This window comes from Homo sapiens, chromosome 2, assembly GCF_000001405.40.
Source record: "Homo sapiens chromosome 2, GRCh38.p14 Primary Assembly".
NCBI lineage: Eukaryota > Metazoa > Chordata > Mammalia > Primates > Hominidae > Homo > Homo sapiens.
Window position 1 is genome coordinate 174,041,100 of NC_000002.12, and position 12,015 is coordinate 174,053,114.

The window sequence follows — 12,015 nt, forward strand, 5'->3', positions numbered from 1 at the left end:
CACATTGTGAGAAATATTTGCAACATTTTCACAGAAACAGGTTAATCTGTAATATTAGGAATGTAATGAACTTTTAAATATTGAGGGGAAAAGGCCAAAACTTGATAGAAAATTAGGCAAAAGGCGTGAACAAACAGTTCATACACACAGATACAAAAATATGTAGATGGACCTTAAAATACAGAAAGATGTTCAACTTCACTCATTATGTTATAAATATATATTAGAACTACATTGAGATACCAATCTTTATAAAATTGACAGAATTTCAGAAGTTTGACCATGCAGTCCATTGGCAAGGCTGTAATGATTCTCATAATCATTGGTGGGAATGCAAAATGATACACCCCTGTGGAGGGAATTTGGAAATATCTAGCAAAACTATATATGCAATTTACCCTTTGACTCAGTAATACTAACTCCAGGAATTTATCCTGAAAGTACACTTCTACAAATATAAAACAACGTATTTATAAGGTTGTTCACGGAGACATTACTTAAACAGCAAAATATTAGAAACAATTTCATTCAATTAGGATAGTAATTGAATAAACTGTGATGCAGTCACACAATGGAGTACTACACAGCTGACAAGTGTTGAGGAATATTTCTCTGAATTAACATGTAGTAATTTCCAGGATATGTTAAGTGAAAAAAATTAAAGTACTAAATAATGGATATATTATGCTACGTTTTTTGTATAAGAAAGAGAGATACAGGAAGAATAAACCAAAAACAAGTAGTTGCCTATAGGGGATTGGCAGGAATGGAGTGGAAGTAATAAGGATGTGAGTTTACCCTTTCGTATTAGTCTGTTCTCACGCTGCTAATAAAGACATACCCGAGACTGAGTAATTTGTAAAGGAAAGCGGGTTAATTGATTCATAATTCAGCATGGCTGGGGATGCCTCAGGAAACTTACAATCATGGTGGGAGGGGAAGAAAACACGTCCTTCTTCACATGGTGGCAGGAAGAAGTGCCAAGCAGAAGGGGGAAAAGCCCCTTATAAAACCATCAATCTCGTGAGAACTCACTCACTATCACGAGAACAGCAGCATGGGGGTAACCACCGCCATGATTCAATTACCTCCCATCAGGTCCCTCCTACAACTCACAGGGATTGTGCGAACTACAGTTCGAGATGAGATTTGGGTGAGGACACAGCCAAACCATATCAAATTCTGAGTATAGTTTTTGATATATAGTTATATATAACTACATATATAATTTTATATATACATATATATATAGTTTTGACTTTTGAACCTTGTAAAAGTTTTACATATTTAATTTTTTTTTTTTTTGATGGAGTCTCACTCTGTCACCCAGACTGGAGTGCAGTGGCATGATCTCAGCTCACTGCAACCTCCAACTCCCGGGTTCAAGTGAGTCTCCTGTCTCAGCCTCCTGAGTAGCTGGGATTACAGACGTGTGCCATCATAACTGGCTAATTTTTGTATTTTTAGTAGAGATGGGGTTTTGCCATGTTGGCCAAGCTGGTCTCGAACTCTTCACCTCAGGTGATCCACCCACCTCGGCCTCCCAAAGTGCTGGGAATACAAGTGTGAGCCACCACGCCTGGCCCATATTTAAAATTTTTTAAATTTTGAGAGATTTGTCAAAAAGAAAAGCTTAAAATTAAATGCAAATATAAACAAATGAACTTAACTGCATATAAAATTAATAATAGAACCATACAGGAAAAAAAAAAGGTTGAAATGACCTGTGAATACAGTATTCTGACTACCTACCCTTAACTGGATGTATTCTAAGAACAAATAGTATTACAAAGAAGTCTTGAACTTTTCTTAGGCCTGATGTTGGAAATGGGCTTCTGCACTACCCAGAGAGGGGTCCGTTCTGGCTTGTTCTGGATTCCTGTCTTAATTTAAAGGGAAACGTTCACAATGTCCAGAGCCCTTGATGTCCTGCCAATGAAGGAGGAGGATGTCCTCAAGTTCCTTGCAGCAGGAACCCACTTAGGTGACACTAATTTTGACTTCCAAATGGAACAGTACATCTATAAAATGAAAAGTGATGGCATCTACATCCTAAATCAGAAGAAGACCTGGGAGAAGTTGCTGCTGGCAGCTTGTGCCATTGTTGCCATTGAAAACCCTGCTGATGTCAGTGTCATATCCTCCAGGAAAACTGGCCAGAAAGCCACGCCGTTGTTTGCTGCTGTCACTGGAGCCACTCTTGTTGCTGGCTGCTTTACTCCTAGAACATTCTCTAACCAGATCTCAGCAGCCTTCCGGGAGCCACAGCTTCTGGTGGTTACTGATCCCAGGGCTGACCACCAGCCCCTCACAGAGGCATCTTACATTAACCTACCTACCATTGCTCTGTGTCACAGATTCTCCTCTGCACTATGTGGGCCTTGCCATCCAATGCAACAACAAGGGAGCTCACTCAGGGGGTTTGACATGGTAGATGCTAGCCTGGAAAGTCTTGTACATGCCTGGCACCATCTGTGAATGGGAGGTCATGTCTGATCTCTGCTTCCACAGAGATCCTGAAGAGATTGTAAAGAAGAGCAGGCTGCTGCTAGAAAGGCTGTGACCAAGAGGAATTTCAGGATGAATGGACTGCTGCAGCTCCTGAGTCCACTGCTACTCAGCCTGAGGGCGCAGACTGGTCTAAAGGTGGCAGATGCCCTCTGTGCCTATTCAGCAGCTCCCTACTGAAGACTGGAGCGCTCTGCTTGCCACGGAAGACTAGTCTGCAGCTCCCACTGCTCAGCCACTAAACGTGTAGGAGCAACCACTGAATGGGCTTAAGCTGTTTATCCACAGGCTTTTAAGCACCATGAAAAGAAGGCTGACAGAAATAAACACCAATTTATTTTAAAAAGGAAATGGTAGGCCGGGCCCCGTGGCTCACACCTGAAATCCCAGCACTTTGGGAGGCTGAGGCAGGTGGATCACCTGAAGTTGGGGTTCAAGACCAGCCTGATCAACATGGAGAAACCCATCTCTACTAAAAATACAAAATTAGCTGGACGTTGTGGCGCATGCCTGTAATCAAAGCTACTCGGGAGGCTGAGGCAGAAGAATCACTTGAACCCAGGAGAAGGAGGTTGTGGTGGGCCGAGATTGTGCAATTGCACTCCAGCCTGGGCAACAAGAGTGAAACTCCGTCTCAAAAAAAAAAAAAAAAAAAAAAGGAAATGGTATTGGAGCAGTCAGTCATTCTGAAAGTATTTGGGGTGTATTATAGAACAGAGCAAATGATTAAATATATTGATGTTTCCTTTTTGCTAACAGGTGTGTTAAAATAAACTAAATAAATGAATGTATTGATGGTGCTGGAAGTCAGCGTTCCCATTGTGGAGGAAGCAAAGATACAAATACAGATTGGGAAGATGAGGAGGAGTCCTGTGGAGCTGGGTTTTAATTGGAAGAAATTAAAAAAAAAATACTAGTTTTCTAAAAATATGCATTTCCTAGCTCTGTCCACCGAAAGGGTTTATAAACAATGGTATCCCAGTAGCAATGAGCAAACCTAGTGGCCAGAGCTTGGTTTCCCAATGCCATTTTCCACTAAAAGAAACCTTGGAGAAATGGCTGATTCCAGACCTGAAGCAGGGAAAATATGAAGTGAGCCACAAAGTAAGGAAGTGCTCAAAGACTGATGGGGTTATGTCAAAAGGATACTGACATCAGCTTGGAGGAACTTCCACTAACCAAATTTGGGACAATCTGACATCAAAAATAAGTTATTGTAGTAGATTGTAATGCAGACCTCAGAAGATTCGCCTCAAGATCCTGGAGGCCCTTCCATAGGGCTTCTTGACAGCATGGCAGCTGGCTTCCCCTAGAACAAGCCGTGTGACAGTTCCCAAAATGAAAACTGTAGTGTTTTTATAACCTCATCTCAGAAGTGACAGTCTATAACTTCTCACTTATTCTATTCTTTAGAAGCAAGTCACTAAGTCCAACCCATACCTAAGGGGAGGGGGAACCCAAGGATGTGGACACCAGGAGGTAAGGACCAATGGGGGCCATCTTAGAGGGCACCCACACCAAGTAATGAAGTGTAACCACATCATCAGTAATGGAACAAAGTGACATTATGTGCCTCCTGATACACCACAATGCATGATACAGATATAGTATTCTTGGGGGAAAAGGAAGGAAGAAACAAACAGACAAATCCAGAATGTGGGACACTCTATGAGAGAACCAGTTTGAATTCTTAAAAAGTGTCAATATCATGAAAAAGATAAAATAATTGCTGTAAGTTACAGAAGACTAAAGAGACATGACAAATCAGTGAGATTTGTGATCCTTAAAAAAGATTCAGGATCAGACGGGCGTGGTGGCTCACACCTGTAATCCTAGCACTTTGGGAGGCTGAGGTGGGTGGATCACCTGAGGTCAGGAGTTCAAGACCAGCCTAGCCAACATGGTGAAACCCCATCTCTACTAAAAAATAAAAAAAAATTAGCTGGGTGTGGTGGTGGGTGCCTGTAATCCCAGCTATTTGGGAGACTGAAGCAGGAGAATTGCTTGAACCAGGGAGGCAGAGGTTGCACTGAGCCAAGATTGTGCCATTGCACTCCAGCCTGGATGACAAGAGCAAAACTCCGTCTCAAAAAGAAAAAAAAAAAAAAGATTCAGGATCAAAAAACAAAAAGAGCTATAAAAGACATTTTTGAACCAATTTGAATATAGACTACATATTGAACTATTAAGTATATGTTAAATGTGTTGGGTGTGATAATGGTATTATGATTGTGGAAGAGAATCCCTTTCTTCTAAGAGAAACATGCTGAAATATTTATGTGCCAAGTGTACAATCTCTGCAAGTCGTTTTCTAATAGTTCAGGAAAGCAAAACCAAAACAAAAAGCCTCTAATGTATAAATACGTATACAAGTGTGTATATATGTTTGGAAATGTGAAGGATATACTCACGTTTATTGTCCTGCTCTTTCAATTTTTCTAAGTTTAAAGTTTTCCAAATAAAAGGTTGCTGAGGTGGAAGGTGGGAGTGGATATTAGGAGTTTTAGGAATTTAATCAAATATTTATGGGAAAGACCCTTGGTATGTGTTGGGCTGCCCTAGGGATTCCAGGGAACCCACAGATGGTCTCTTGGTGGTGCCCAGTGTATGTGTTGGGGATTCTCTGAGCCAGTGCTCACTCCATGTTGAGAGGTGAAAAGGCAACGTCTTAGTCTGTTTGTGCTATAACAGAATACCTGAGACTGAGTGATTGGTAATGAGCAGAACCTTATTGGCTCACAGTTCTGGGGGCTGGGAAGTCCAACTTCGAGGCACCAGCCAGTGAGCACCTTCTTGCTGCAGCATCACATGGTGGACAGCAGAAGGGCAAAAGGCAAAAGGGGACAAACTGGCCCTTTTATAACTGCATCAGTCATTAGTTCCCATCATTAGCAATCACATTTCAACATGAATTTAGTAGACAAACATTCGAACCATAGGGAGTCAAAGCAGACCTGGATTCTAAACCTTGCTCTGCCCCTTCCTGGCTATGTGACTTTGGATAAGTTATTAATCCTCTCTGACCCTCAGTTTCCTCAATTGTGAAGTGAGAGAGATCATGCCTACTCAGCAGGGTTGTTCAAATGTGCTAAATAAATAGTACTTCCCTCATATTCCTTTCCTTGTACCACCTCCCAAATCACCAATTTATTCATTCATTAACTATTTATTGTTATTCCTTACAATGGGCAAGGGGTACAAATCCGAGTCAAGTTACTCTTTACTAACAAAAGATAAGCATTGGGTGTTAAGGAGTGAGGAGTTGCCCCAGAAGACTTCATAGAGGCTGGGCTGTCGGGCAGAGTCTAGGATCATGAGCTTGGTGGCCTGCACAGGTGATGGAAGAGGAGCCTAACCTGCAATGAGGGCCCTCAGAGGCAAAAGTAGTGGGTAGTTCAGGTGTCAGGAGGGTGGCTGGACTGGGGGTGTTTGGTGAAGTGGGCAGGGCCAGGTTAGGAAATGGGTTGGGCCCCGCGTGAGCAGCGTAGGGCCTTGTCTAGAATGACAGGGTGCCCCTAAAAAATGCATTTCCAAAGATCGCTTAGTACTGACCATGACAAGCTTTGATGTTTGGTTCACAAAATGCAGTAGGTGGAGCTCAGCTGTATTATACTGGTTTAAAAAAACAACAACACTTGAATGGATAAATAGAAGGAAGCTATGGACCCTAAATTTTTCTGTGGCCTTTCTCACCACCTTCTTCCCAGAAGAGGAAGAAGAAGCCTGGCTAGGGGATTAGGCCTGACAAAATAGGGCCTGCCTTTGAGAAGGGTGATATTTTTCAGATAGAGGCACACAAAGAAAAAAATAAAGAGAGAAGGGAGGATTGCAGAATAAAGCTCTTCTGTCACCTGTTGTCACCATCTCCTTATGCAGCCTCTGTCCACAAGCACCTAATGCCCTTACCACCACCCTAGACTAGATTGCAGGGACTACCACTTTCTAAATCACATGTTTCTGTAATACATTAATTTTCTTTTTGCCGGAAATGTATATTACTTTTGTAATCTGAAAAAAAATGACCAGAGAGAGAGAGAAACCCTAAACGTCCAATTCCCATACTAATCTAGACTGATCTTCTTGAAAGAGCTGCTTCCTCCCACATCAGTCCCCTTATAATCCCTGCCATTGTTCGGTCTCCTCTGCTCCTTTCTCCATTTCTAGATTGCCAGGAAGTAAGAGAGAGGAGGGGGCGTCACAGTGGCCTGGCTTCAAGTCCTTGCTGGGGGACACATGGAGGAACCCAGCCTGTGCCAGCCCTGGTGCTGAGAACTCCAGGTTCCCGGTCCCTGCGGGGACCCCAGGGCTCACCACTGGGATCCTGGCAGAGCGGCCCTGGGGTGCCCCGGCCAGGGAGCCTCAGCCCCCGCCGGATGTGCACGCGCAGAAGGAAGCTTCTTGACTTATGCTAAATCATTTTTCTAAGAACAAAAACTATGTACAAATGAATATTTCCATCTTTATTTCAAATTCTAGGTTTCAACTGCAATATTAATGCTACTCCACAGTGTAATTTACTTGTAATAATATATCATTATTTCTATTTTACAGTTCTCTTCTTAAAGTAGTAAAGCAAATGTTTAAAACAGCACAAATCCGAAGCCCCACAATTCTCCATTCAGGCTCAGAATTTGTGCTCTCCTTTCAGAATGGCACATAATTGAAAACAATGAACACCCCCAATGTGCTAAACGCTCTAGTCATTAAAGCATTTTTTTACTTTGCAATAAAAGACTGTTCTTGTGGTTGTGGTTATTTATTTATTTATTTTTAGAAACCCCAAACACGCTGCTTCCTGTTCCCAGACTGACATCTGCTGGGGATGTCAGGCTGACCGGCTCCCCGCCAGGCCCGCAGCCGGCTGCCACTCGCGCCCACGAAGGGCAGCGGAGGGACGCGCCCGGGGCGCAACCCGCGGCGTCTGCTGGGCGCTCTCCCTCCGGCTGGCGTGCAGGCTCAGGAACTGGCCCTGGAGTCCCCAGTTTCTTTCTGGCTTGTAGCTGCTGAGTTAAATCCCAGAATGGCACTGGCTTGGCACAGGATCCTGGCTGTTGGCGGCTCAGGTGAGGTACTGATGCCCAGGTGAGGATTTGGAGGCAAAAATAGGCACACGGGCAGAGTGGGTGTCCTCTGCGTGCTGGATGCTCAAGTTTCCTTGCTTTCTGGAGGACGTCTACCCTGTGTATCTTTCACTTTTTTCTGTAGTGGTTCCTACGCCTTTGGTAGAACAGCTCCCTGTTTAGTCAGCCCTGGGCATCGGGTCCTGTAAGGGAGGATCTCCATCCATCCCCACAGATTCCAATCAGCAACCTTCAAGCTTAACAACCAGGAGCCGAGCTTCCTGTTCCACCCAGAATGAGTAGAATGAGGGCCGGTTTGTCTTCTCTTCTAACCCCTCCTTTGTCCCAACCTTGTTGTTGTTTACCCTGTGGCTGGGGCAGGGGGGTGAAGCTGTGAGGGGCAGGGGGGTGAAGCTGTGAGGGGCTGGGGAAGGGCAATGTTCCTTTTCTGTCTCCTGGAGACGTCCAACAGCTCTAGGAGCCTCTTACTATCTGTGAAAGGATGGCATCAAGCCTGAGTCTCTGACGCTGCTCTGGGCAACCTGCCCCTCCAGGCCCTTGCAGGACATTTTCTTTTCTTTCAAAAAAATTTTTTAAAATATATTTTTTACTTTTCAGGGAATGACCTAGAACATTGCAGAACATTTTTGTGAGATGCCCTTGGCCCCTCACAAAGCCAGCATCCTGCCCCAGCCAGCCCCTAACACGCTCTCCTGCACACACCTCCAGGGGGTCTGCATTCCTGCCTCTCTGAACCCTCCCGTTCACCCACATCTGTGCCTTCCTGGCCATCAGCCTGCCAGCCTGATCACTAGCCTTTCCCTCTTGCTCCCCGGTATCTTTCCTCTCTGGCCAAACTTCTCACCCCCATCCACAAACGGTACTCTCAACGGCAACCCCAACCCACTTAAACACCTTTAATGAAATCTCATTGCCACAGAAAAAGCCCTATCCTTCGGCTTAATGTCCAGAGACAACATAGCCTAGTCCAGCCCAGCCCAGCCAGGGTTTCCCAAAGCCTGGGAGCCTACCTTGGGGTCAGGGGATGCCCATGGAATCATTTTGTGGGGATGAGGTGGGGGCATTAAGAATGGAGTCACTGAATGAGAAAGTGATTGTATTAGTTCAATTTCACACTACTATAAAGATACTACCCAAGACTGCGTAGTTGATAAAGAAAAGAGGTTTAATTGACTTACAGTTTCACATGGCTGGGGAGGCCTCAGGAAACTTACAATCATGGAGGAAGGAGAAGCAGGCATCTTCTTCACAAGGTGACAGGAGAGACAGAAAAAGCCCAGGGGGACTGCCATTTATAAAACCAACAGATATCATGAGAAGTCCCTCACTATCACGAGAACAGCATGGAGGAAACCGCCCCCATGATCCAATCACTTCCCACCAGGTCCCTCCCTCAACACCTGGGATTACAATTCAAGATAAGATTTGGGTGGGGACACAAAGCCTAACCATATCAGTGATTCTGTTATGGAGAAAGTCTGGTTTGGTGTGAGTCAGCTTATTTTTTTTAAATAAACTTTAAATTTCAGAATAGTTGAAGATTTACAGAAAAATTGCAAGAACATTACATACAGTTCCTAAATACCCAACACCCAGTTTCCTCATTGTTAACATTGCTAGTGGAAGCTTTGAACACCTCCCTGATGCCAGTGAATCTCCTTTCAACAAGGATGCACCTCTGTAGCCACAGCTGGGAGGCTGAGCTGGACTCTAAGAACAAAGCTTTGTATGCAACAAATATATTTTCTGTTACCTTCTAGTTCCAGCAAGTGAGACTACTCATCCACATTCTAAAATCTACAAATCTCTGAAAAATGAAAGCTTTTTTTGTAATGTTGGGGCCAAAGCTCCTTGAGGCAAGCTATATATAGCTTCTGTCCTACTTGGTGTAAATAGTCATACATTTCTCTGAGAAATATTTATTGATTCTTTGGCTTCTGGGGGTGTTAACTACTGCAGGGCGTATGCTCTATATCTCCTTTCTAAATCAGAAAAAAATCTGAATTCCAAAACATATCTGGCACTATAGTTTTCCATTTTATGGTTGTGATATAGTTCAAAAGTAAATTTACGCCAGGAGTGGTGGCTCGCACCTGTAATTTCAACACTTTGGGAGGCTGAAGCAGGAGGATCACTTGAGTCTAGGAGTTGGAGATCAGCCTGGGCAACAAAGCAAGACCCCATCTCTATTTATTAAAAAATAAAAATGAAAATCAGTAAATAAATTTAAATAAAAAGAACAAGTCATTTAAAGAAAAACAGTAAATAAATTGTAAATACAAATTACCTGTATTTTTAAGTTTCTCTTTTACTTTTTCCCACTCTTCAAATAAACACACTAATTACTAGCACCAAAAACAAAACAAAGAATCTGCTTTGCCTTCAGGGTCCAATCTAAACTCCTCCACCCCCTGGCCATACCACGGTCCTGCTATATACCAGGCCTGCTCATGCCTCCAGGCCTTTACACGTTCTGCTAGTCTCCTTAAAATGCTTTTCCCACTTCTTTCCCTGGCAAACTCTAGGCCCTTCTTCCAAACTCAGCTCAGATGCTACCTCCTGCAGGAAGCCCTCCCTGGTTGCATCAGTCTTAATTAAGTGGTCATCCTGTGTGGTCCCGTGGTATGCTGCACACAATACTGTAGGTTAGGAAGGGGTTTGACCCCTAGCTCTGCCTCTTTTCAGCTGGATAATTCGGGTCACTTAATTATGCTCACTAAGCCTAATTAGTAAGATGAGTAATGATAGTTACTATTTATTGAATTCATGCATTATTCTAAATGCTTCACATGTGTAAATTCATGTAATCTTCACAACAAACCTGAGAGGTAGAAACTGTTATGATCCCCATGTAACATATCAGGGAATTGAAGCCCTGGGAGGGTAATTCCTTCTCAAAGTCACAATAGGCAGGGGCAGCCAGGACTTCTTCCCCTGTTTCTCTTATTCCCCACTGCAGAGTAGCTAGGGAAGAGCCTATATCACAGGTTACCAGGAGAATAAAATGAGATAGCCCAGGTCAAAGGCTTCATCTTTGCAGGCTACCCCTGGCCAAGCCTGTACTTGATACCCGAGACTTGGCAGGCACTTATTTATCTGCCTCTGAAGCTAGCTCAGCCAGGGGGCTGCAAGCCGCTGTTCTCTGCTGCTCCTCTTGGTTTTATCATTGCCTCATTGGAATCTTCCTGCCTGGCCCAAGCTGGGTGGGGCCTCTCCACAGTGCTTTCTACTGTAATCAGTATTTACAATTTTGGCCTCTCCCTCTGAGCTCAGCAGAAAGAAATGTGCCCCACGCACATTTGCCTTTCATCTAGCGCCCTGCACAGGGTTTGAACCAAAAGAACTTCATAAACATGAGAAGAATAAACGATGAAATAAATGCATGGATGAAAGGATGGATGGATGAACAAAGAAGGAATGGACACATTTTTGTCTTTAGAATTTCTAACACAAGGACATACCATAACTAGCGCAGAGTGAAAAACATTATCCAGATAACACTCTTCTAACCAGACGTTCAGAGACTGAACTTTGAAAACAAAGGGAAGGAAAGAAAACAGCTCTTTGCACTGCACTGCACTGTATGTCTGCACTTGGAGTAAAATAATGTGGTAGTGATATTCAGCTCTCATGGTCTTCCCTTGAGATGGGAAGCTGGAAAAGGAGCGGTTGACATTCATGATAAAGCTAAAACATCTTAACGGGCACTGAATAAGTTTGATGTTATAAATGCCATTTATAAGCGAATCTGAGGCAAGATCCTAAACAACAGAGAACAGCTGCGGCACATGAGCACTTACTGACAGGCTCCAGGCCACACAGGCTCTGGATTTGACGACTGCCACACTTCAGCACTGGCGCAGGAGCTGCTTATGGAAAAGCTGCATAGATGGCCCAATAACCACCCAAGACAGAAAGCCTATATTTCGATGATTTGCAAAAGGATGAAATGACATTGTCATTCAGTTTATTAGATTACTGCTTCTTATCTCCTTTCTCCTCTTTTAAATTTGGCACTAGGAGGATAACATATTCACTAATGATTGTGGTTTTTAAAGGTAAAAATGTTTAATTATGAGATAAGAGGAAATTATTTGCTGGAGAGCACGGAGCAGCCCGTGTGAGTACAGGAATGGCACCCTTAGGCACTGCTGTTTAATTTACAAGCTATTTATCTCCTCACCTACACCCAGCAGAAACAATTAGCACTTGGTAATTTGTTGATCTTATCTAAGTCATAGGATCTGTTATCATAGTTGCCACCACTGTAAAGGCTACACTATGTGAAATGAACAATTTAGAAATGGCTGGCTATTCGGTCATGCTCATTTAACTTGTTTTGAATTTATTTTAGACTGGTGAAGTCTTCACATTTTGGTCTCACTTCTAAATCAATGCATTAATTTTGGGAGGGATTTTAAGACGT

The 12,015-nt window shown here is 43.4% G+C and overlaps 1 pseudogene, besides 2 other annotated features; it reads left to right on the plus strand.

Moving 5' to 3' along the window:
* Positions 1,834-2,855, plus strand: RPSAP24 (ribosomal protein SA pseudogene 24; annotated as a pseudogene).
* Positions 8,430-8,633: a silencer, noted in NCBI's record as "fragment chr2:174914257-174914460 (GRCh37/hg19 assembly coordinates)". NCBI's record gives its function as "represses an EF-1alpha promoter that drives an FKBP-Casp9 reporter gene in an ReSE screen in K562 erythroleukemia cells {active_cell/tissue: K562}" and the evidence as "EXISTENCE:reporter gene assay evidence [ECO:0000049][PMID:32094911]".
* Positions 10,391-11,590: an enhancer, noted in NCBI's record as "MED14-independent group 3 enhancer chr2:174916218-174917417 (GRCh37/hg19 assembly coordinates)". NCBI's record gives its function as "activates an origin of replication core promoter dependent on BRD2, BRD4, P300/CBP and CDK7 cofactors, and independent of MED14, by STARR-seq in HCT116 cells {active_cell/tissue: HCT116}" and the evidence as "EXISTENCE:reporter gene assay evidence [ECO:0000049][PMID:35650434]".